The sequence below is a fragment of the Homo sapiens genome, chromosome 10 (genome assembly GCF_000001405.40).
Source record: "Homo sapiens chromosome 10, GRCh38.p14 Primary Assembly".
NCBI classification, from domain to species: domain Eukaryota; kingdom Metazoa; phylum Chordata; class Mammalia; order Primates; family Hominidae; genus Homo; species Homo sapiens.
In genome coordinates this window covers 133,262,030-133,284,762 of record NC_000010.11, presented here as the reverse complement: position 1 = coordinate 133,284,762, position 22,733 = coordinate 133,262,030, and the positions used below count along the sequence as shown (strand labels likewise).

The following is a 22,733-nucleotide window of genomic DNA, read 5'->3' as shown; positions in this document are numbered from 1 at the left end:
GACAGCCACATCTTGCTGGGACCAGAGGTGCTTTGCAGCCGGTCTGTGCCTCTAGGGTGTTGAAAAAAGGGGTCGATGGCAGAGCTTCATAAGAATTTGTCCAGTCGGGTGCAGTGGCTCATGCCTGTAATCTCAGCACTTTGGGAAGCTGAGGAGGGAGGATTGTTTGAGCCCACAAGTTCGAGACCCGCCTGGACAATGTAACAAGAGCTCATCTCTTAAAAAAAAAGAAAATTATTTTAATTAGCCGGGAATGCCTGTAGTTCCAGCAACTCAGGAGGCTGAGGTGGGAGGGTTGCTTGAGTCCAGGAGGTCAAGGCTGCAGTGAGCCAAGATCGTGCCACTGCACTGCAGTCTGAGCGACAGCAAGACCCTGTCTCTCGAAGAAAAAAAGAAATTAGAAGAAAAAGAACTCATCTTGATGATGAAGCACAAATATGCATCTGTTGTGTGGCACTTTCCTGGCGTGGGCTCCGAGGGGTCCGTCCACCAAGGAGCCCGCGTCCCAGTCTCCACCGTCCAGCTGGCTGGGGGTGTCCCTGCAGGGCACAGGTTGGTAGACGGTGACAGCTTGTGCTGGGCAGACGCAGGAGCAGCGGCCGTGAGTGTCTGGTGTGCTGGGAGGGGCGCTTGCTCTGCAGAGGAAATAGCCACGTCCAGAGAACGTCCTCCATGGCTGTCCTCCGTCCTCCGTGTCACTTGGTGGGCGCTGTCGGGGCCGCGTCCTCCATGGCTGTCCTCCGTCCTCCGTGTCACTCAGGTTTGCTGGGGCTTTCACTCTGCGGCAGCGAATGCTCAACTTCGTCCAGAATATTCAATACTACATGATGTTTGAAGTGATGGAACCGACCTGGCACATCCTGGAGAAAAACCTGAAATCCGTGAGTTTTAGCTCCACAGATAATAACGTTTGAAAGCCACTTTCCTTTCACAGGGAGACAGGAAGTGCAGGAGAGGCAGGGCGAGGGGAGAGGCAGGGAGTGCAGGAGAGGCAGGGAATGCAGGGAGACGCAGGGAGTGCAGGAGAGGCAGGGAGTGCGGGAGAGGCAGGGCGTGCGGGAGAGGCAGGGAATGCGGGAGAGGCAGGGAGTGCAGGGAGACACGGAGTGCAGGAGAGGCAGGGCAAGGGGAGAGGAAGGGATCCCCCAGGGCGGGGCTGCACCCACACTGCTGGCCACACACGGGACCCCTTGCTGCCTGCCGTCCTAGGGGGACTCTGAGCCGTCTTTGCCCCGAGGTTGTCTCTCCCACATTGCGCATCTGAGGCTGAGGGGCCTGAAGGCAGAATCTGTTGGTACCAAATTCCAGAAGCTGCCGCAGCCTCCCTTCCTGTCTTCTGCCTTAAGAAATGAAACCCCTTCGGGGTGTGCCCATCATTTTTTTAGTGGTGTTTGGAAGTTTTCCCCTAAAAGCCCAAGGCCCATTTAAGAGGTAGAAGTGCGTAAACAGGAATGCACAAAGCCAGAACTGAGCACGTGCGCATGCAGGGCCCGTCTGTCAGCCACGTCTTTCTGAGAAGGGGCTTGGCCTGTTCCCCGCAGGCCTCCAACATTGACGACGTCCTTGGCCACCACACAGGCTTCCTGGACACCTGCCTGAAGGACTGCATGCTCACCAACCCCGAGCTGCTGAAGGTCTTCTCCAAGCTCATGTCTGTGTGCGTCATGTTCACCAACTGCATGCAGGTGCGTGGGTGTGGGTAGCACCATCGGGTGGGCAGGCGCGGGTGGGCAGACCATGTCCCGACCGTGGCCGCACGCAGCCTGCTCACGTTTTCCTGCCCTTGTGTTCGTGGAGGAGCCGCTGGGATCTGAGTGTTTCCAGAACTCCTGGTCTTCCTGGCCGGGTGATTCCCTCCTGGAGCCCCTGCCCTGGCAGCGTGGGCAGGGCTGTGTTCCTCCCGAACCATCCCTCAGCCTCTGTGGTGCTGGTCTCTGTCCGGGGCCTTTGCTTATGGCCCTTGCATGCTCTTTTCCTCAGCACTTGAGCTATTTGATTCCGTTAAGGACCTGCAGGCACTAGTCACAAGCAGCTGCCGACTGGCGATGGTGCAGAACCTGCGTGTCTAGTGGCAGAAGCAGGGGTCTGAGAATGAGGCTCTCCAGGCAGTGCCATGGGGAGGGTCCGGAGGAGGGCGAGTGGGGAGGTGGAGGAGGGCATGGCCACTTCAGGGTCCCAAATAGGGAAACACCAAAATAACTGTTCTCAGGAAAATCAGCTGGTCACCGTGGAAGGTAGACCTGGGAATTCTGTCGGCACAGATAAGTCATTTCCCCTGCAGCCTCAGAGATGCTTGTGTACCCCCAGCCGCAGGCTACAACAGAGGTGCGGAGGGTGACGTGCCTGCAGGACTTGTTTTTTCTGCAAAGCATTGTGGTTGTAACTAACAGAAGCATTTCCTTGCGACTCTCCCCCCCTAGAAATTTACACAGAGCATGAAATTAGATGGCGAGCTGGGCGGGCAGACGCTGGAGCACAGCACCGTCCTGGGGCTGCCCGCAGGGGCCGAGGAGCGGGCCCGGAAGGAGCTCGCCAGGAAGGTGCGTGGCCTCCAGGTTTGGCCAGAGAGAGACGCTTCCTCCCGGCTGGGCGGCAGCCTGGGCATCCTGACGCAGGGAGAACAAACCTCCCCCCTTTTACTTCCATCTCCCCTCAGATTGAAGAAAAGACTTAAAATTAGCTTCCAAGCACAAGCACAAGAGCCTCTCACAATCTTCTCAGCTCTCTGGTCCCCACTTCAGCCAGTCGGGCTCGAGGGAACCCCCACAGATCTTCAGAGCGAGCGCTGTGCAGGGCGCCTGGGCGAGGGCAGGGGCCACACCCGCTGTCCCTGCTGAGCTCGGTCCTGAGTTAGAACCGTCAGGCTCTCAGCAGGCACGGACAGGCTGCATGTCCTCGGAGGCATGGCCCTGCGGCGCCGGCTCCGGGGTGGCATGGTGGGGTGGGCAGTCCCGTGTTCACACGCTGGAGCTGGAGCTGGCAGAGAGGAGTTGGGTTTGGAAGCGTGGGGGCCGGAGGTGAGGGACACTGAGAGGCGCCCCGACCTCCTTGCTGAGAAAGCTGCTGGGAAAGCTCGTTCATCTCACCCCAAAGGAGAGTGACCACCTCATCCCACGAGGCCTGGAGTGTTTCTCTGAGTGCTGGGTTCTCAGGAATGTTTTTTGATGTCTTTTTTACCTTGAATCTCCTGAAAACATCATGGAACCCATGTTTTCTATTTAAGAAAAGGGGAAGGGAAAGGACACCGGCCTGCTGGGAACAGTGTGGAGCCAAGAAGGCCCACGGTGGGGGTGGGCATGGCTCACGCACCCCGGCTTTCTTTCCAGCACCTGGCTGAGCACGCAGACACTGTGCAGCTGGTGTCCGGCTTCGAGGCCACCATCAACAAGTTTGACAAGAACTTCTCAGCCCACCTGCTGGACCTCCTGGCCCGGCTGAGCATCTATAGCACCAGTGACTGTGAGCACGGCATGGCCAGCGTCATCTCCAGGTGGGTGGGCGCCACCCCGGCTCAGCCCTTCCTCAGCTCAGTCCAGCGCCTGCCCCTGCCCAGCACCGCCCTGGCTCAGCCCTTCCTCAGCTCAGTCCAGCACCTGCCCCTGCCCAACACCGCCCTGGCCCAGTGCTGTCCCTGCTCAGCCGTCCCCCAGCTCAGCCCAGCACCTGCCCCTGCCCAGCACTGCCCTGGCCCAGTGCTGCCCCGGCTCAGCCTTCCCCCAGCTCAGCCCAGCACCTGCCCCTGCCCAGCACCGCCCTGGCTCAGCCCTTCCTCAGCTCAGTCCAGCACCTGCCCCTGCCCAACACCGCCCTGGCCCAGTGCTGTCCCGGCTCAGCCTTCCCCCAGCTCAGCCCAGCGCCTGCCCCTGCCCAGCACCGCCCTGGCCCAGTGCTGCCCCGGCTCAGCCTTCCCCCAGCTCAGCCCAGCGCCTGCCCCGGCTCAGCCCTTCCTCAGCTCAGCCCAGCATCTGCCCCAGCCCAGCGCCACCCCAGCTCAGCACCTGTCCCTGCATCCAGGCCCCATCTCCCCTGCACCCTCCCCTGGTCCACCTGGTGTAGCCTCCTTCAGAAGGTGGGGCAGGTCTGTGTCCTGGTGCTAGTGCTGGTCATATGCCACTCCCTGAAGTCAGGCTAGCCCAGCTCTCCCTGGGGTGTGACATTCTGTGCAACTGGGCTGCCCCATTGGCACCCTGCGGCTGTGTGTGTCCTGTGGGGCTGATCAGGCCTGGGTCAGCTTCCCTCATGCTGCACTAACACCTAGCCTGGGGGAAAGGGCCAGGTGGCCAAACTGCCAGCCTGGAAGGGGTGGTGCCCTTGGGGGTGCTGTCCTTGGGAAGGTGCCTATTTGTGCTTTTGGACCACCCTGTGCCCTGTGCCCCCCACAAATGTTCTGATTTTCTGAGCAGGGATTTCTGAGGCCACCCTGCATTGAGAACCACTGCTTGGTTCTCCAAGCCCCTGACACCTCAGGCCCCATTGCTAGGCCCTGTTGGGGTGATGGGAGCCCCAACTTTCTGGGGCCAGGAGAGAAGAAACCTGTGTTTGTGCCTTTGAGCAGGACTGAACAGGACTGAAAACCTTCCTGTGGAAACATTAGTTAGGAGCGTGCCTCACCCTCACCCCTGCAGGGCCTCTTATGGTCTCTGTAGCTGAACACTTCCCCATGGTAGGAGCAGGGCTGCTCAGGACGGACCCGCAGAAGGAGTGTGTGCCCCAGCTCCACTGTCCTTCCTCACCCCTGCTGCCCAGCACGCACCCGCAGAAGGGGTGTGCACCCTAGCTGCACCGTCCTTCCACACCCCTGCTGCCCAGCATGCACCCGCAGAAGGGGTGTGCACCCCAGCTCCACTGTCCTTCCTCACAGGCTTGACTTCAATGGTTTCTACACGGAGCGCCTGGAGCGCCTGTCTGCAGAGAGGAGCCAGAAGGCCACCCCCCAAGTGCCTGTCCTGCGGGGGCCCCCGGCTCCTGCACCCAGGGTCGCAGTCACCGCACAGTGAGCCCTGGCTGTGACAGGAAGGAAGGGTGTGGGGTCAGCAGGGACTGGTGCAAATGGGTCCAGAATTTTCAAATCGAATGCTCTGTGTTCTGTCTTTGCAGTTTAAATATAAAGCAGGAATGATTGACTCAGCTCACTTTGTTTCTCAAGGCGCTGGGTTTCGTTTTATAGAAGCTGCCCAGGCAGGGTGGATGTCTCCCTGGATTTGCTAATCTGTTTGCTTTTTGAAATTACACTATCACCTTTTTGGGTGTTTTTGGCCTCAAAGTGGAAATACATGGTGTTTAAGCCAGGAGCAAGCAAAGATGCATGTGGGGTAAGATCCAGGCCTGGTGTCCACATCTTTCCGGGTGAGCTGGGGCCGGGCTTCCTGAGGTCTGTCGGAACCGGGACAAGCCTCTGGAAACGGTCAGGGAGTTGTGGAAACCCACCGGGCATCGGGTGTCGGGTTTGCTTTGGCCCCAGAGGCAGCCCCGTTCCTTCTCCTGAGGACTCACCCGCCTCCACGACCCTCCTCCTGCTGCTGCTCCAACTGGTCCAGGGCAGGAGGCCACAGACAGGGCCCTCAGGCACCCTGGGAGCCCACACCTCCCCCTCCGTGGGAGTGGGTCGAGGGGCAGGCTCTGCTGCTGGCTGGAAACCCCACCCCGCCCTATCCGGTACCGCCTTGTTACGTAGAACTTACTCAGCAGACTGACACCCAATCCCCCTCGGGCGATCATCTGCCCTGTCTTCCCACCTCCAGGGCTACAGTGGGCAGCACCGCCATCCCCAGTGTGACAGGGCCCTGGGAGCCTCAGGGCTGCCCGGCCAGGTTGGTCTGCTCTGGTTACATTCTGGCCAAGCTGCCCCTTCCTGCTGACCTGCATGTGTATTGTTGTCACCTTCAGCTCTCAGCACCTCGGCCCCCTTGGGCAGTGAGGAAGGGCCCTGGAGGCGAGGTTGGGAGAAAGGATAGCTAGAACAGGATCCTGCGGGGAACAAGGGTTGTGGGCAGCTCTCACCCGGGGCTGCCTCACTGAGAGCACCGCCGAGTGGGGGTGGGGGTGTCCAACTCTCCAGCCACAAACCGCTTCCTCCTTGTCTGCAGGCTGTGCAGGTCTGGCCTGTGAGTAAACACATTTATCAGCAACCCAAGCTGTCAGTCTCAGTGTTGTGCAAATGCCGGACTGGTGAGCAGAGGAGCCTGCTAGCTTTCCTGCCTGGCCCCGAGGCCCAGAAACCCCTGATCTTGTGTCCTGGGGTCTGGGAAGCCCTGGGCCTTGAGAAGTGGGGTTTGCAGGTGGTGATAGGAGGAGGGGAGGGAAGCCTCCAGGGCTGTGGGGTTCAGGCTCCCAGACCCCCCGGCACCTGCTGAAGAGGAGAGCTGTGTTCTGTGGGATTGGGTGGAACTTCCTCAGCGCGGGAGGAGCCTGTTCTGGCCCAAGCTGGTCCTGTCTTTTTAGGAATAAATCCCTGGTAGCTCAGCGTCGGCAGGGGCCTTGCTGTGCCTCTGATGTGGCCAGCGTGCCGCCTTTGCACTTTGCTGTTGAGTAACTTGCACCATGAGGTCAAGGAAGGGAAGTGTGATTGCCAGCTGGCCATTGTTCTATAATAACAGGGTCACCTGCATGAGCTCAGGCACAGGCCAGTATCCCCAGCCCTACCTGGGAGCCTCTCGGCAGCCTGGGGGACCTCGTCCTGTGCCACACAGGCAAGCGGACACACCCCCAGGCAGCAGAAGTCACCTGCGGCCCAGTGCCAGCCCTTGCTTTCTTGCTTTTCATGCCATTCACATTAGGGTAAGAATGGCTTTGAGACAAAATGTGACAGCATCACTCACGCCAGCTTAGATCCTCCGGGTTCCCTGTCCTCCCAGGATAACGTCCGAGGCCCCGGCCTCTTCTTGCCACTGCCCCTTGACCTCTGTCCTCTGCCCCTAGGCCCGTGCAGTTCCCTGACTCGCCCTGCCCTGGTGCCCTCTCTCCAGGCAGGACTCCCTCCAGCCCCTTGCTGGCCCTGCCCTGCCTCTCCCCAGGGAGGCCCTGAGGCCCCCCCCCCCCATGTGATCTGTCAGCAGCGCCCTGTGTGGTCATCTGAGCTGCCTTTCCTGCCACCACCACTGTTCCCACTCCAGGAGGGCGGCCTGGCTGTGAAAGCCCCAGGGAGGGGTCCTGGGTGGACCGTCTGGGGAGCTGTGGTGTCAGCCCAAACCTGCACCCTCGAGGCTGAGCCCACCACGGGGAATGTGGTCACCAAGGGCAAGCACGCTTGGCCGCAGGCCTGGAGACGCCGGAGCCAGGCCACGGTGGGCTGCTGCAGGCTTTGGTCCACGTCGGCCAGCGTCAGCTGCTGTCTGGGGATCTTAGGCTAGGGACGGCCCCTGCACCTGCCATCACCTGGGCTGGGACCCCCACCTAGGGCTCCCCCTCCCCACTTGGACGCCTGCGGGCCCATGCCTATCCCACTCCGGTGAGGCCTCAGCCTGGTGGAGGGGGCGCAGGCTTGGGGGGGAGGGTGGCAGAGCTTCCCACAGGGCTGAACCTATGCCCACAAAGCCATGACTTGCCCCTGCCTGAGGCTTTCTGTTCCCCAGGAAATCAGAGACCCCCTCTCCTGAAACCGCCAGGCGGCCCTCACAAGTCCCTTCCCCTCCAGGACCTGCCTGGCGCCACCTCCTTCCAGCCGCCGGGTCCTTCGAGAGGCCCCCTCTCGGGGCTCTGGCCGGACTTGGGACAGGCTGTGCCTGAGTTTCCTCACCTGTGCAAGGGAGGATGCTGGATTGTGGGGAGAGGGGAAACGGACCCCGCCCCCAGGTGCCGCGCGCCCCGCCCCTCCCACCGGCCGAGGGGCCCATTGGCTGCGGGGCGCCGGGGCGGGGCGCGCGGAAAAGAGCCTCGGGCCAGGAGCGCAGGAACCAGACCGTGTCCCGCGGGGCTGTCACCTCCGCCTCTGCTCCCCGACCCGGCCATGCGCGGCCTCGGGCTCTGGCTGCTGGGCGCGATGATGCTGCCTGGTGAGTGGTTCCAGGGAACCGTCCCGGGCGCAGCGCGGGGCAGGGTGGCTCTCCCCGCAGGACGCGACGCGGACCCCGAGCCCCTGGCCTGCTCGCACCCCGCACCCTGGCCCGGCTTCGGGCTGGTCCCTGGGAGCGGGCCATCAGGTGCACAGTGGTCTCTGGGTGGAGAGCCCCGGGCCGGGGAGGCCGGGGAGGTCGGAGGGAACCTTCAAAGGTGAACTGTGAGAGGGAAGTCCCGCCTCTGAGCTTGTTAGTGGGGTCGGGGCCGGGCCAAGCAGGACGCTTCACCTGCTGCGCGAGGCGCCCTGGGTTCCTGGGATTCACCTGTGGGGCTACCCACCCCCACTATTTAGCCGAGGAGGGAAGGGAGGGCAGACAAGCTGAGGCCTGGAGTGCAGGGGTGTGGGCTGAGGGGACCCGTCTCCTGCCTGGGGGAGGACATGGGGCTGCTGACCCTGGATCCCACCCCTGCTCCTGGAGTGACTTGGGCTGGGGTGTGCTGAGGAGCTTCAGGCTGGAGGCCGGGTTGCTTCCCGCCAGTTTCCTGGGCAGATAGGGGCTGGCTGCTCCCCTGCTGCCTCTCCAGGTTGGAGATGTGGTCATGGAGACACGTCCACTATTGTGTTTTAATGGGAGCAAAGGGTCCTGGGGTTGGTGGTCTCCGAAACCCTGCCCATTGCATGCTGGGACCCTGCCCTCTGCTCTCGGATACCAGGGAGTTTCCAGTTCTTGGGAGGTGAACAGCCTCCGGGAGGCACTTCCTGCTCCCCAGTTAGATGCGATCAGATGATCAGAAGAATGGAGGAGGAGAATGGAAACGGGCAGGTCGGCGGCCCGAGTCCTCCTCCCTGGGGGGAAGGTTCATCCTTGCCCTCGGGCCCCTCCAGAGATCTGAGACAGCCTGGAGACCTGTGGAGTCACTGGCACCCGCTGGCACCCACAGCGTCTCTGAGCACTGTGTGTGGGTGCTGCAGGACACAGGCCCACCGGCCATGCCTGGGGGCGCTCCTGGGGTCTTTTAGGCACAGAACCCTCACTTGAGTCTTTGTCCCAGAGCTATCTGGTGAGTTCCCCAGGGGAGGGTCAAGCCCAGCAAGAGACAGAATCTGAGGGCCCAGGAGGCCTCTGGGAAGGAAACCTGCCCCCCGGCCCCTCATGCCTGCTGACCCTCCCTCCTGCAGCGATTGCCCCCAGCCGGCCCTGGGCCCTCATGGAGCAGTATGAGGTCGTGTTGCCGTGGCGTCTGCCAGGCCCCCGAGTCCGCCGAGCTCTGCCCTCCCACTTGGTGAGTCTAAGCTGGCCTGGGGAGGGTCCCTGGCTGGCCCCTGAGCCTATTTTTGTGAAAGGAGCTTTAGCTTACAGAAAGTGGTGAGAGGCCAGTGGGTGTCTGGGGCTGCCCTGTACAGCTCTAGCCCCCTGGGGCCCATCTCCGTTCCTCCCTCCAGCACTGCCTGAGGGCTCCCAGCCTCCTCGTTCCTTCAGGAGCTCTATGGACCCCTGGAAGGGAGCAGGGGCAGGTTGTGCTGGCCCCGGGCCCCTCCCCAGTTTCACTTGGCGAGGCTGATAAGCCAAATTCCTCTTTGAGAAGTGACGCTGGCTCACCGCAGAGTTGACACACCTTCCTGTGTTGGGGGGGGGGCCTGGCGGGGGTTTCCCAGGGCTAGAAACTGAGAATGCCCCCCTCCCCGACTGGGGCTGCCCGAGGGTGATTCCTGAAGCCTGAGTGGGTGGGTGTGCACACATGTGCACGGCATATGCATGTGTGCACCTGTTTCCAGGGAGGGCAGTTCCGGCCCCAGCCCTGTCCTTACCTCAGCATCCGGGGAACCTACTACCGACCTGCCCGCTGCCCTGGGCTCATCCAGCCGGTGGCACAGCTAAGGCTGTCCCAGAGCTCTGCAGGCCGAGCCCCAGCCTGCACATGGGGGCTGGAGATGCAGTGGTCCAGCAGGAGGCTCTGCAGGCACCACCAGGTCCGGCAGCTGCTGGAAGGGATGGGTCCTGGAGGCAGGCAGCTGTCGCTGGAGGGGCCTGTGCGTGCTATCCCCGCCACCCACCTCCTTTGCTGCCTGGCTGAGGCTATGCCTCCCCCACCCTATGCTTTCTCGGGGAAGGGGCATTGTCGTTACCCATGCGTGGTCAGATGGGGAAACTGAGGCCTGGGAGGACCGAGGAGCACCGTGTCCTTCCTGTCTACCCAAGTGCTGGGCTCCGCCGGTCGCCTTCAGCACAGCCCCGTTCCCTACCCTCCACCCTCCACCCCCCGCCCCCCACCCTCTGCCCTCCGCCCCCCGCCTCCACCCTCCACCCTCCACTCTCCACCCTCCACCTTCCACCCCCCACCCCCTGCCCCCTACCCTCCACCCTCCACCCTCTACCCTGCCTGAGGCTGTGGACCCTCCAGGATGGAGCCTTGACCTGGGGCTGGAGGCCGGCACCCCTTCCCCCCCAGCTGAGCTTCTCTGGCCCCCAGGATTGAGGTGGGCACAGCCCGGGCAGGCTGCTCACCTGGGACCCTTCCCTCCTCGCTCAGGGCCTGCACCCAGAGAGGGTGAGCTACGTCCTTGGGGCCACAGGGCACAACTTCACCCTCCACCTGCGGAAGAACAGGTGAGTGGGTCTCGGGTCGGCCCCCCTGCCCGGGCCTGGCTCCAGCACACTGGTGTCCCCGGCGTCCAGCCTCTGGGCCAGCCTCTCTGCACCGAGGGGGCCGAGGCAGTCACAGCACTTCTTTTCCAGGGACCTGCTGGGCTCCGGCTACACAGAGACCTATACGGCTGCCAATGGCTCCGAGGTGACGGAGCAGCCTCGCGGGCAGGTATGGGTCGGGCGGAGCAGCTGGGCGGGCAGGTAGGGGCTGGGCGGCCCTCCCCGAGCCTGTGGGGCCATGGGGGCACAGCCTGTGGACCCCTCTCCTGCTTCCCCCGCAGGACCACTGCTTCTACCAGGGCCACGTAGAGGGGTACCCGGACTCAGCCGCCAGCCTCAGCACCTGTGCCGGCCTCAGGTGGGTGTGGCGGACGAACGCCAGGGCTCCCGCAGGTGGAGAGGAAGGCCTAAGCCTGTGGTGGGGGTGGGGAAGGGAGGCAGGGAGGGTGCCTCCTCCTCCCACTCAGGCCTTTGCTGTCTTGCATGGGGGTCTGCTCAGGGGACGCCAAGCCCAAGAGGCTCACCCTCCTGTACCCTGGGGCCTGAAGTCACCTGCGGGGGGCTGCTGGTGGCAGGGTAGGGGGAGCTGTAGGCAACAAACTGGAGCCTCTGGTCCTTCGGGGCAGGACCAGGCCACTCTGAAGCCCACAGCACACCCGGCTCCCACTCCCCTCAGGGGTTTCTTCCAGGTGGGGTCAGACCTGCACCTGATCGAGCCCCTGGATGAAGGTGGCGAGGGCGGACGGCACGCCGTGTACCAGGCTGAGCACCTGCTGCAGACGGCCGGGACCTGCGGGGTCAGCGACGACAGCCTGGGCAGCCTCCTGGGACCCCGGACGGCAGCCGTCTTCAGGCCTCGGCCCGGGGTGAGCACCCTTGTCTCCTGTGTTTGGCTGGCCCTGCCGGTGTCCACTTGCCTGGCCTGTGAGTCCTCCTGGCTCCCCATGTGCTGGGTGCTGCCCATTGTCTGCAGCCTGGAGCAGGCCTGGCCACGCTCCCCCAGCACTGGACAGGGGCTGGACAGTGGCCCCGGGTCCCTGAGGGAGGGTCCAGGCCCCGGCGCTGGGAAGGCTGACTGGCTTCTTGTGGCTGTTCCCCAGGACTCTCTGCCATCCCGAGAGACCCGCTACGTGGAGCTGTATGTGGTCGTGGACAATGCAGAGGTGTGTTGGGGGCAGGGAAGGTGGGAGAGCAGCCGGCGGCGGGGGCATGGGGGGTGTGTGGGCTCCAGCCTGAGGGTCTCGTGTCCCCAGTTCCAGATGCTGGGGAGCGAAGCAGCCGTGCGTCATCGGGTGCTGGAGGTGGTGAATCACGTGGACAAGGTGGGCAGCGGTCCTGGCTGCAGAGGTGCCAGAGCCCCTGGCGGGAGGTGGGGGGGGTGTTGCCACAGGGTTCATTCCACCTGCTCCAGCTCTGCCCCGCACCTGTGCCTGGCCCCACCTCGCCGTGGGACAGGTGCATCCTCCGCCACCCACCCTCCCTGCTGTACCTTCCGCCACCCTGCCTGACCCCCAGGACTCCACCACCTCTCCAGCTATATCAGAAACTCAACTTCCGTGTGGTCCTGGTGGGCCTGGAGATTTGGAATAGTCAGGACAGGTTCCACGTCAGCCCCGACCCCAGTGTCACACTGGAGAACCTCCTGACCTGGCAGGCACGGCAACGGACACGGCGGCACCTGCATGACAACGTACAGCTCATCACGTGAGCTGGCGGAGCGGGCAGGGTGGGGAGGGCTGGGGAGGGAGGGCGGGCAGGGTGGGGTGGAAGGGAGAGCAGGGCTGGGGTGGGAGGGAAGTGGGGAGGGAGCCGTGTCCAGGGCATCTGTGTCACTCCCACTTCCAGGGGTGTCGACTTCACCGGGACTACCGTGGGGTTTGCCAGGGTGTCCGCCATGTGCTCCCACAGCTCAGGGGCTGTGAACCAGGTGAGGGGGCTCCTGCCCGGGTTTGCCAGGCCGAGGCCAGAGCTGGATAGGGGAGGGGACGCCTCGGTCCAGGTCTCTGGAGCAGGCCACCTCCCCTCAGGCCAGGTTTAATGCCTGATTTTATGTTTTAAGGTGGTGTTGGCGGGAAGCTGTGCCAAGTCCTGGGCCCTGGTGGGGTGAGGGTGGCAGGCGTGGGGAGTTGGCCACATGGTTCCTGAGAGCACAGACCCTCCTGCAGGACCACAGCAAGAACCCCGTGGGCGTGGCCTGTACCATGGCCCATGAGATGGGCCACAACCTGGGCATGGACCATGATGAGAACGTCCAGGGCTGCCGCTGCCAGGAACGCTTCGAGGCCGGCCGCTGCATCATGGCGGGCAGCATTGGGTGAGGCGGCCAGGCCCTGCAGAGCCAGGGTATGCTGGAGGTACGAGGTGGGTGGGGAAGGGGCCAGGCCGCCTCCCCCAATGCTGCCCCGCCTCCCCAGCTCCAGTTTCCCCAGGATGTTCAGTGACTGCAGCCAGGCCTACCTGGAGAGCTTTTTGGAGCGGCCGCAGTCGGTGTGCCTCGCCAACGCCCCTGACCTCAGCCACCTGGTGGGCGGCCCCGTGTGTGGGAACCTGTTTGTGGAGCGTGGGGAGCAGTGCGACTGCGGCCCCCCCGAGGTGCGTCCATGCCCCATACCTGCTCCCGTCAGCACTGGGTGCCACAACCTCTGTCCCTTCAGGCCAGGGTGACCACTGCACATCCACACGTGGAACTTGGGGCTCTGTGGGTGTCCAGAGCGGTCACAGGGAGGGAGTGGCTGCAGGGCACCCCAGTGGTCAGGGGAGGCGGCCAGGTCCGCCCTGGAGCCCAGCCCGGCCCCAGTGCAGCCTGCCAAGGCCTTTGCCGTCGCCCCAGGACTGCCGGAACCGCTGCTGCAACTCTACCACCTGCCAGCTGGCTGAGGGGGCCCAGTGTGCGCACGGTACCTGCTGCCAGGAGTGCAAGGTGAGTGCAGCCTCCCACCAGTGACCCCCAGAGCCCATGGCTGGCAGGTGGGAAGGGACCCTGGGGCACCAGGGACCAGGCAGCTTGCGTGGACCTGTCCCCATGGTGAGCTGTTCTCTGCTGGGCCAGGTGAAGCCGGCTGGTGAGCTGTGCCGTCCCAAGAAGGACATGTGTGACCTCGAGGAGTTCTGTGACGGCCGGCACCCTGAGTGCCCGGAAGACGCCTTCCAGGAGAACGGCACGCCCTGCTCCGGGGGCTACTGCTACAACGGGGCCTGTCCCACACTGGCCCAGCAGTGCCAGGCCTTCTGGGGGCCAGGTGAAGTGGGCACAGAGCTGGCCTGGCAGGGTGGCTGCAGGCCTTGCCAGGGCTAACCCGCTTCTGGTCCCACAGGTGGGCAGGCTGCCGAGGAGTCCTGCTTCTCCTATGACATCCTACCAGGCTGCAAGGCCAGCCGGTACAGGTGAGCTGAGACCGCCCTGGGCCCAGGACATGTGCTGTTCCCACAGCGGGGTCAGCCCCAGAAGGGCCTCTGCAAAGGGTCCTGCTCCCATGAGGGTCTGCTCTGGACCCATGGACCCCAGGCTCAAGCGCACCGTGTTGTGGGAGGGAGGTGGGTCACTGTGGCTCCTGGGCTCCCCAGCATGCTCCCAGGCAAGCTGGCCCACGACCTGCCGTCCATCCACAGGGCTGACATGTGTGGCGTTCTGCAGTGCAAGGGTGGGCAGCAGCCCCTGGGGCGTGCCATCTGCATCGTGGATGTGTGCCACGCGCTCACCACAGAGGATGGCACTGCGTATGAACCAGTGCCCGAGGGCACCCGGTGTGGACCAGAGAAGGTGAGCCCCTGGCTCAGAGGCCGCGCCACCCCCCAGGCATCCCGGGCATGTGCCCCACGTGGGTGCAGATGCGTTTCTGAGCTTGGCAGCTGCTCGAGGCCATGGGAACAGAGTTCTCTCCGCGCTTCTAGTAGAGACTGAAAGGTTTCCGGGGGTGGGGAGAGACATGGTTCTCAGTTCATCTGATGGCCGTCGCCGGCGGCCACGTGCCCCAGGAGGGCCACTTCCCAGGGGCTTTGGGGGTAGGCAGCCGGCAGATGGGCTGAAGCACAGCCACCTTGGACGTGGTGACCACAGCCCACCCCCAGCTTACCATGCAGTTTCAAGGGACGCTGGCGGGGCAGAGGTCCAGAGCGGCTGCCTGAGAGACGCCTCCTACCCCCAGGTTTGCTGGAAAGGACGTTGCCAGGACTTACACGTTTACAGATCCAGCAACTGCTCTGCCCAGTGCCACAACCATGGGGTATGTGTGGCCTCTCGGGACAGGGCCCCTGCACAGAGGCTGCCGCTCTGAGGGAGCCGGTGCTGGGGACAGCTCTGGACACGGGAGCCTGAGGCTGGGGGAGCCTGGCGTGTCCTGTCCATGGGGGTCTCTGTGGAGCCCCTGTCGGCTGAGGCCCGGCCTGGGTGGCCTCCGTGGATGGAACCTGCATGGTCACCGGGCAGCGGGCAGGGGCTACATGGAGAGGCCTCGCCGTCGGCGCATGTGGGCAGGGACCGAGGGGCCCTCGGGGGTGGGGCTGGCCCGGGGCCCTCATGCTGGAGGCACGGCCCCCACGGCCCCTTGGGGTCCACAACAGGGTTGGCCCTGAGCCCAGCCGTCCCCGCAGGTGTGCAACCACAAGCAGGAGTGCCACTGCCACGCGGGCTGGGCCCCGCCCCACTGCGCGAAGCTGCTGACTGAGGTGCACGCAGGTAGGCCTCCCTGGCCAGCGCAGGTGGGGCTGGGGTCCAAGCTCAGAGGGCCCGAACAGAGCCCAGGCAGAAGCCGCGGGCCCGGGAAGCTGGTGGTGTTCACGGTGCCAGTTTGCTGCCACAGGCATCGACACACAGGTATAGGCAGAGCCTGTCTGTCCCCAGGCTGATGTGAGGAGGGGAGAGCCCTGTCCCAGAGGGAGGCAGTGGCCGAGGGCAGGGCACGGCCGTGAGCTGAGACTCCAGTGTCCTCAGCCTGTGTCTTCCAGCCCCTCCTCGGCCCGGGGCCCTGAGGCCACCCAGCATTTCCTCCCCGGCGGCCACTGAGCATGTGGTCGTCCAGAGCATCAGGCCTCAAAGGCACAGCCGTGCCCACAGCACTGTGGCCCAGGGCCACCCTGCCAAGCTCTCCAACCTGTCACTGGCAAGCTGGGAGTGCCAGTGTAAGGTACCAGGTCCTCCCTGAGGGGTCCACAGGGCACAGCCTGGGGGTGCTGAGAAAGACCGTGTCTCTGGGAACCTCCCTGGCTCCTGCCTGAGGTCGCGGCCTGCCTGCCTGATGTGGGGCCGTGTGTCCCACAGCGTCCGGGAGCCTCCCCGTCTTCGTGGTGGTGGTTCTGGTGCTCCTGGCAGTTGTGCTGGTCACCCTGGCAGGCATCATCGTCTACCGCAAAGCCCGGAGCCGCATCCTGAGCAGGTGAGGGTGGTGGGGGCTGTGACGGAGGGTGGCGAGTGCTTCCCGTGCTCAGCTGCCAGAGGAAGGAGTGCCCAGCACGGGCCCATGGTGGACGGCACGGACACCCAGGCTCCTCTGTGCCCCGACGTCATGACGCCCCCCGGCTTGGGCTGAGTTTGAAGGGCCTTCCTGGCTCCACTCGGCCAGTGCCACTCTGGACTCCACCTTCCCCTGAGGCTGGGGCGGGGCATGGTTTTGGTGGCCGGTTGGGCTTGGGGCAAATCCAGAGAGGCCCGGTGGGGTCCCCCATACCCTGACCCAGCCCCGTGAGCACCCTGCCAGTTTCCTGCTGAGCCCTGCTCTAGGGACCTGGACCCCCACACAGCAGGAGACCCCCACGCAGCAGGACACACTGGCCCCACAGCCTCCAAGCATCTCCCGCCCACCTGACTGGGGCCCCCAGGACATGGAGGGGGTGTCCCTGCCTCTTCAGGGTCCGCCCCACCTCCTGGGCCTGTCTGTCTCTCATGGCCACAACCTCTCGCCCTGAAGCCTCTCGGGTCGGCTGGAGCTGGGAGGGAGAGACTCGGGGTGTGGTGCTGGGGCCCCATGGCCGGACACTGACCATGCGCCCTGTGCTTCCTCCCCAGGAACGTGGCTCCCAAGACCACAATGGGGCGCTCCAACCCCCTGTTCCACCAGGCTGCCAGCCGCGTGCCGGCCAAGGGCGGGGCTCCAGCCCCATCCAGGGGCCCCCAAGAGCTGGTCCCCACCACCCACCCGGGCCAGCCCGCCCGACACCCGGCCTCCTCGGTGGCTCTGAAGAGGCCGCCCCCTGCTGTAAGCACCACCCCTGGCGGGTTCATGAGGCCGAAAGCAGTGCCCAGGCCCCATCCTGCGACCCCAAGTGCAGCCCGAGGCCAGCAGAGCCCTTTCATTAAATTCACGCACAGGCCAGCGGTGGCCCCGAGGCCCAGAGCAGCTGCTGTGGTCGCCCTGCTGGGAACACTGAGGCTTTGGGAGTGGGCACTTCCCAGACCCCTTTGAGCCATGATAGAATCTGAGCTTGAACTTAAACTTGGGGGCTCCCAGCCCAGGGAAGCTTCCTGGCCTCCACAGAGCCCATCTGAGGACAGTGTCGAGACACAAATGCTCTCCGGCCCCCAGCTCGGGATCACACGGCTGAGGGGAGGAATGGGGCGGGGCCTCTCATCTGGGGTGGGGCCCTGTGGGCCGCGCAGACGCCTCCAGCACACACAAGAGGCAGGAACCTCGGATCCTGGAGCTGGGGGTGCTGGAGGGGCACGGGGGTCCCAGCTCTGACCCAGGCTCTCGGCCCTGTCTCCTCCAGCCTCCGGTCACTGTGTCCAGCCCACCCTTCCCAGTTCCTGTCTACACCCGGCAGGCACCAAAGCAGGTGAGCAGTGGTGATTGGGCGGCCAAGCCTTCTGAGGGTGTCCAGGCCTTCCTGATGGGATTGGGGTCTGTGCACTGCACCGGGGGCCAGGGATCCCCAGGTGGCCCCTGCTGTACACAGAAGGCTGGTTAGCCCGACCTCGTGAGGACATCAGACAGAAAGGCAGGTCAGCGAGGCCACAGGAAGGCAGGAGCTCAGTCCTGCCCTGCGTTGGAGCTGGTTTGGGGGTCCTGGCTCCTTCTCCTTCCACTCAGACCTGCTCCGCCCACCAAGCCCCTCCCAGAGCTGAAGCTCTGGCAGAGAAGAGGACTCCCTGGGGCCCTGCAGGACAGATGGGTGGGTGGGCTCAGGGCAGGGACACGTTCCGCGCTTCCCTTGGGTTTGGGGGCTTTGGGGGTTTTGGAAAGATCTCTCAAAACCCGAATCACTGGAGCCCTGGCATGCTGAGGGTTAACTCCCAGGCCTCCGTGTCCCCCCAGGGTTGGGGTCCTGTCCCTGCGCCCTGGCTCCCACCTCTGGGCTAACCTTGGAGCCCTTTTTGGACCCCGTGGGGGCAGCTCATTGGCCTCAGCCCTGGGAAACCGCTCTGGCAGTGGGTGGAGAAGGACCCTTGAGCTCCCTTCCTGGGGCCACTGACTCAGCTAGGGCAGCAGAAAGGGCCAGGCTTTCTCTCTGGGGCCTGGCACGGGGCCCCAGTGGTACCATCGAGGTCCACTTGGCATTGCGGGACATTGTGAGCAGCCTCTGTCCTCAGAGAGGGCAGGACGGTGGCGGGCAGGCTGGGGCTGGGGAGGTGCCTGTGTGAAGAGGTCCCACGGTGCATCTCCGGGGACCCCCTCCACAGAGGTTCGTGGTCAGCCCTAGGACTGGGCTGTGCATGGAAGACCTGGGGCAGGAGAGCCCCTGCCCTCTGGGTTGAGGCTTTTTTTTTGTTAACATTTAATTTTGAACAAATTTTAGACTTACAGAAAAGTTGCAAAAATAGCCTAGAGAATCCTGCATGCCCTTCGCCTGGCCTGCTCCCGAATGGCCACAGTGTGGGCGCGCAGCCGAGGCTCCACGTCACCAATGCGACCCAGTCAGTACCGCCTGCTCCCTCTGGACGCCCTTCTCCAGCCATGGTCCCCCCAGGCACTCAGCCCCCGGCCCCTCTGCCTTTCCTCAGCTTGCCCTTTGGAAGTGTGGCCAGCAGTGTTTTCAGAGTCCCTCAGCCTGGGTTTGTCCCGTCTTTCCTTGTGTGGATGAGGGCCCTGCACTGTTGGCGGGGGCAGCACTGGACACACCCTTCCCCAGGCACAGCCCAGGCCTGGCCCACATGCAGCTTCGGTCACGGGGGATGTTGACACAGCGCCTAGTTGGAGCAGCGTCCACAGATTTTTCCTTAGAAAGCTCCTGTCTTCTTTTTATAGTGAGCAGATGCCTCAGGGAGATACCTTGAGACTCTTTGAACCTTAAGCTTGGACCCACTAGTTTTGGCATCCATTGGTGAATATTGGCTGCAATAGTTGTTCTGTGCTGTTTGCCTAATAGTGATTTTCTCTCTTTTTTTTTTTTGAGATGGAGTCTCGTTCTGTCGCCCAGGCTGGAGTGCAGTGGCGCGATCTCAGCTCACTGCAATCTCCGCCTCTCAGGTTCATGCCATTCTCCTGCCTCAGCCTCCCAATGTATCTGAGACTACAGGTGCCCGCGACCATGCCTGGCTAAATTTTTGTATTTTTTTTTTCAGTAGAGACGGGGTTTCACTGTGTTAGCCAAGATGGTCTTGATCTCTTGACCTCGTAATCTGCCTGCCTTGGCCTCCCAAAGTGCTGGGATTACAGACGTGAGCCACCATGCCCGGCCCTAATAGTGATTTTCTATTTCTCTCTTTCCTTTTTAACTTTTTATTTGAACTAACTTCAGACTTGTACGTGAGTTGCAGAAATAGTCCTAGAAGGGGTCTGGACAGGCAAAATGGGGGCCTGAAGGGGGCAGAGAGATTTCTGGCCAAGGAAGTTATGGTTACCAGGCATAGCAGTATATGGGGCAGAGGCTGCAGCAGGAGCCGGGCGTGGTGGTAGATGGGGCAGAGGCTGCAGCAGGAGCCGGGCGTGGCGGTAGATGGGGCAGAGGCTGCAGCAGGAGCTGGGCGTGGAGGTAGATGGGGCAGAGGCTGCAGCAGGAGCTGGGCGTGGAGGTAGATGGGGCAGAGGCTGCAGCAGGAGCTGGGCATGGAGGTAGATGGGGCAGAGGCTGCAGCAGGAACAGGCGTGGAGGTAGATGGGGCAGAGGCTGCAGCAGGAGCTGGGCGTGGAGGTAGATGGGGCAGAGGCTGCAGCAGGAGCCGGGCGTGGAGGTAGATGGGGCAGAGGCTGCAGCAGGAACAGGCGTGGAGGTAGATGGGGCAGAGGCTGCAGCAGGAGCTGCGCGTGGAGGTAGATGGGGCAGAGGCTGCAGCAGGAGCTGGGCATGGAGGTAGATGGGGCAGAGGCTGCAGCAGGAACAGGCGTGGAGGTAGATGGGGCAGAGGCTGCAGCAGGAGCCGGGCGTGGAGGTAGGTGGGGCAGAGGCTGCAGCAGGAACCAGGCATGGAGGTAGATGCGGCAGAGGCTGCAGCAAGAGCCGGGCGTGGAGGTAGATGGGGCAGAGGCTGCAGCAGGAACAGGCGTGGCAGTAGATGGGGCTGAGGCTGCAGCAGGAACAGGCGTGGCAGTAGATGGGGCAGAGGCTGCAGCAGAACTGTGCAGGAGGGAAGTCACTCACTCTTCACTCTCACGGGCTTCCCCTGGCTGCTCAGTAGGGTCCTTTGGAAGCTGCTGAAAACTGCAAATGCTTAGCCCACCCAGGCTCCGTGTGACACAGCCAGGAGTGAGCTCCACAGCTCTGTGTGGTGGACATCCAGCCTCCCTACCCTGGGAAAGCTGAAATGCAAAGAAACACGTGTTTTAGTAGCTAATTATTGGCCTTTGAGCTTCCAAAACCCCACATTCCGGCAATCTGTAGAGCTCTTCAGGCCAGGCGCATTGGCTCATGCCTGTAATCCCAGCACTTTGGGAGGCTGGGGCGGGAGGATCACTTGAGCCCAGGAGTTCAAGACCAGCCTGGGCAACATAGGGAGACCCCGTCTCTACAAAAAATAAAAAATTAGCTGGGTATGGTGGCTTGTGCCTGTCGTCCCAGCTACTCAGGAGGCTGAGGCGGGAGGATCGCTTGAACCCAGGAAGAGGAAGCTGCAGTGAGCCAACATCACGCCACTGCACTCCAGTCTGGGTGACAGAGGGAGACCCTGACTCAAAAAAAAAAAAAAAAAAAAAGGAAAGGAAAAAAGCTCTTGGAGGGTAATATGGGGGTTGGTTAGGGGATGTGGATGGTGTACTGGGCAGGTGGGCCCAGGATGGCGTTCTGCCACTGATGGGCTTTATTCCTGGGCAGTGGCAGCCAGGAGGGCTTTTCTGTAGCGAGCTCAGTGGGGGCGGAGCCTGCAGGCTCCCTGGGGGGCAGAGCGAGGTCTGTGGGGAGCTTCGTTCCAGGTCCAGAGAAGGTGATGTCCAGGCTAGAGCCGGGAGTGCCTGGGGGACCCATGTCAGCTGTGTCTGTTTCCTCCCAGGTCATCAAGCCAACGTTCGCACCCCCAGTGCCCCCAGTCAAACCCGGGGCTGGTGCGGCCAACCCTGGTCCAGCTGAGGTGAGGCCCCAGCACACACCAGGCAGAGTCCACTGTGCAATGGACGGCACGGCCTCCCCACGGGGCTGACGGTGGCACTGCCCTGGAGGGTGGGGTTTTTTTCTGATTATCTGTGGATAAACTTGGGTGACTGAAAGAAAAGGGAAAGGCATTGGCAGTGGCTGTACTGTGGTATCTGTGCTGTGATCAGGGGACTTCTCAGCAGATGCCGACCCCGGCTGTCAGTGGTGCCTGACCTTCCCCCAGCAACTGCAGGGAAGAAAGTCTGTCCTCTGTGAGCTGTATATATTGTGACTGCCACACCTGCCATTGTGTGCATGGGCCATGTTGTTGGTGGATGAACCAAGAATCCACATTTTAAGAGATGTTAAAGGACGTAAAATTTCGTTGTACCCTTTATATACCTTTTATAGCAGGTAGTTTTTCAACATCAATTATCTTTTCCTCCTCCCAGGGTGCTGTTGGCCCAAAGGTTGCCCTGAAGCCCCCCATCCAGAGGAAGCAAGGAGCCGGAGCTCCCACAGCACCCTAGGGGGGCACCTGCGCCTGTGTGGAAATTTGGAGAAGTTGCGGCAGAGAAGCCATGCGTTCCAGCATTCCACGGTCCAGCTAGTGCCGCTCAGCCCTAGACCCTGACTTTGCAGGCTCAGCTGCTGTTCTAACCTCAGGAATGCATCTACCTGAGAGGCTCCTGCTGTCCACGCCCTCAGCCAATTCCTTCTCCCCGCCTTGGCCACGTGTAGCCCCAGCTGTCTGCAGGCACCAGGCTGGGATGAGCTGTGTGCTTGCGGGTGCGTGTGTGTGTACGTGTCTCCAGGTGGCCGCTGGTCTCCCGCTGTGTTCAGGAGGCCACATATACAGCCCCTCCCAGCCACACCTGCCCCTGCTCTGGGGCCTGCTGAGCCGGCTGCCCTGGGCACCCGGTTCCAGGCAGCACAGACGTGGGGCATCCCCAGAAAGACTCCATCCCAGGACCAGGTTCCCCTGCGTGCTCTTCGAGAGGGTGTCAGTGAGCAGACTGCACCCCAAGCTCCCGACTCCAGGTCCCCTGATCTTGGGGCCTGTTTCCCATGGGATTCAAGAGGGACAGCCCCAGCTTTGTGTGTGTTTAAGCTTAGGAATCGCCTTTATGGAAAGGGCTATGTGGGAGAGTCAGCTATCTTGTCTGGTTTTCTTGAGACCTCAGATGTGTGTTCAGCAGGGCTGAAAGCTTTTATTCTTTAATAATGAGAAATGTATATTTTACTAATAAATTATTGACCGAGTTCTGTAGATTCTTGTTAGATCAGCGGGGAAGGATGGAGGGCTTCAGTTCACGAGATACAAGGGTCGGCGCTTGGTAAAATGCAGACTGCGAATAGATGAGGTCAAGCCACCTTCTTTTCTCCCTGGATTTCTCAGGCCCTCCCCAGCGTAACTAAGCAGTCCCGCCCCTCCCGCGGGCAGACGATCCGATCCAGGAACCCACGCCCAAGAAGACTTCGCCGCGATGCACGGAGGAGCCCGCGCTACCCCTGCCCCGCCCCGTCTCCGGGCAATGGCCCGGCCCCGCCCCCGCCCCGTCTCCCGGCAACGGCCCCGCCCGCGCCCCGCCCATTCCGTCTCGTCTCCCGGCAACGGCCCCGCCCGCGCCCCGCCCATTCCGTCTCGTCTCCCGG

General features: G+C 62.9%; 2 protein-coding genes across 12 annotated transcripts in view, besides 9 other annotated features; both read left to right on the top strand.

Annotated features, from left to right (window-relative positions):
• The window catches only part of TUBGCP2 (tubulin gamma complex component 2), a 33,703-nt gene extending 27,575 nt beyond the window's left edge, over positions 1-6,128 (top strand). For 3 of the 4 annotated variants that reach the window (NM_001256618.2, NM_006659.4, NM_001256617.2), the window contains 5 exons: positions 761-881; positions 1,542-1,685; positions 2,421-2,540; positions 3,327-3,490; positions 4,862-6,128. In NM_001256618.2, coding sequence (NP_001243547.1) covers positions 761-881; positions 1,542-1,685; positions 2,421-2,540; positions 3,327-3,490; positions 4,862-4,997 — 685 coding nt within the window. In that variant the 3' untranslated portion in view covers positions 4,998-6,128. The remainder of the gene's footprint in view (positions 1-760; positions 882-1,541; positions 1,686-2,420; positions 2,541-3,326; positions 3,491-4,861) is intronic. The other variant, NR_046330.2, reaches the window with a different exon arrangement.
• Positions 5,871-5,950: an enhancer, noted in NCBI's record as "active region_4242". NCBI's record gives its function as "activates an Ori minimal core promoter by ATAC-STARR-seq in GM12878 lymphoblastoid cells {active_cell/tissue: GM12878}" and the evidence as "EXISTENCE:reporter gene assay evidence [ECO:0000049][PMID:35858748]".
• Positions 6,441-6,490: an enhancer, noted in NCBI's record as "active region_4241". NCBI's record gives its function as "activates an Ori minimal core promoter by ATAC-STARR-seq in GM12878 lymphoblastoid cells {active_cell/tissue: GM12878}" and the evidence as "EXISTENCE:reporter gene assay evidence [ECO:0000049][PMID:35858748]".
• Positions 7,646-8,205: a silencer, noted in NCBI's record as "silent region_2972". NCBI's record gives its function as "represses an Ori minimal core promoter by ATAC-STARR-seq in GM12878 lymphoblastoid cells {active_cell/tissue: GM12878}" and the evidence as "EXISTENCE:reporter gene assay evidence [ECO:0000049][PMID:35858748]".
• Positions 7,646-8,452: a biological region, named in NCBI's record as "H3K27ac-H3K4me1 hESC enhancer GRCh37_chr10:135089815-135090462".
• Positions 7,805-8,452: an enhancer, noted in NCBI's record as "H3K27ac-H3K4me1 hESC enhancer chr10:135089815-135090462 (GRCh37/hg19 assembly coordinates)". NCBI's record gives its function as "activates a minimal SCP1, AML or CMV promoter by ChIP-STARR-seq in naive H9 embryonic stem cells {active_cell/tissue: H9 hESC(naive)}" and the evidence as "EXISTENCE:reporter gene assay evidence [ECO:0000049][PMID:30033119]".
• Positions 7,895-22,340, top strand: ADAM8 (ADAM metallopeptidase domain 8). 8 transcript variants are annotated; one of them, NM_001109.5, is made up of 23 exons: positions 7,895-7,991; positions 9,176-9,279; positions 10,528-10,604; positions 10,734-10,812; positions 10,925-11,001; positions 11,320-11,509; positions 11,744-11,806; positions 11,897-11,965; positions 12,178-12,347; positions 12,489-12,570; positions 12,809-12,957; positions 13,058-13,235; positions 13,474-13,563; positions 13,693-13,882; positions 13,958-14,027; positions 14,253-14,403; positions 14,789-14,866; positions 15,234-15,318; positions 15,901-16,015; positions 16,645-16,834; positions 17,346-17,411; positions 20,998-21,075; positions 21,530-22,340. In NM_001109.5, exons 1-23 carry the CDS (start codon positions 7,946-7,948, stop codon positions 21,605-21,607), a joined length of 2,475 nt encoding a protein of 824 aa, NP_001100.3. In that variant the 5' UTR covers positions 7,895-7,945; the 3' UTR covers positions 21,608-22,340. The 8 variants fall into 8 exon arrangements, 7 of the variants coding, with proteins under 7 accessions (NP_001100.3, NP_001157961.1, XP_047280382.1 ...); XM_047424425.1 differs by lacking the exon at positions 7,895-7,991 and adding an exon at positions 8,769-9,057; NM_001164489.2 differs by lacking the exon at positions 15,901-16,015 and having other exon boundaries at positions 16,697-16,834.
• Positions 9,456-9,715: an enhancer, noted in NCBI's record as "active region_4240". NCBI's record gives its function as "activates an Ori minimal core promoter by ATAC-STARR-seq in GM12878 lymphoblastoid cells {active_cell/tissue: GM12878}" and the evidence as "EXISTENCE:reporter gene assay evidence [ECO:0000049][PMID:35858748]".
• Positions 9,753-10,402: an enhancer, noted in NCBI's record as "H3K4me1 hESC enhancer chr10:135087865-135088514 (GRCh37/hg19 assembly coordinates)". NCBI's record gives its function as "activates a minimal SCP1, AML or CMV promoter by ChIP-STARR-seq in naive H9 embryonic stem cells {active_cell/tissue: H9 hESC(naive)}" and the evidence as "EXISTENCE:reporter gene assay evidence [ECO:0000049][PMID:30033119]".
• Positions 13,498-14,254: an enhancer, noted in NCBI's record as "H3K27ac-H3K4me1 hESC enhancer chr10:135084013-135084769 (GRCh37/hg19 assembly coordinates)". NCBI's record gives its function as "activates a minimal SCP1, AML or CMV promoter by ChIP-STARR-seq in primed H9 embryonic stem cells {active_cell/tissue: H9 hESC(primed)}" and the evidence as "EXISTENCE:reporter gene assay evidence [ECO:0000049][PMID:30033119]".
• Positions 21,463-22,439: an enhancer, noted in NCBI's record as "H3K27ac-H3K4me1 hESC enhancer chr10:135075828-135076804 (GRCh37/hg19 assembly coordinates)". NCBI's record gives its function as "activates a minimal SCP1, AML or CMV promoter by ChIP-STARR-seq in naive H9 embryonic stem cells {active_cell/tissue: H9 hESC(naive)}" and the evidence as "EXISTENCE:reporter gene assay evidence [ECO:0000049][PMID:30033119]".

Excerpts from the sequence above, each read along its gene's own strand:
- ADAM8 (XM_047424423.1), top strand. The coding sequence starts at position 9,749 with ATGCATGTGTGCACCTGTTTCCAGGGAGGGCAGTTCCGGCCCCAGCCC. Across the intron at positions 11,002-11,319 it reads AGCACCTGTGCCGGCCTCAG|GGGTTTCTTCCAGGTGGGGT; the intron begins GTGGGTGTGGCG and ends CACTCCCCTCAG. Across the intron at positions 13,236-13,473 it reads GCGACTGCGGCCCCCCCGAG|GACTGCCGGAACCGCTGCTG; the intron begins GTGCGTCCATGC and ends CCGTCGCCCCAG.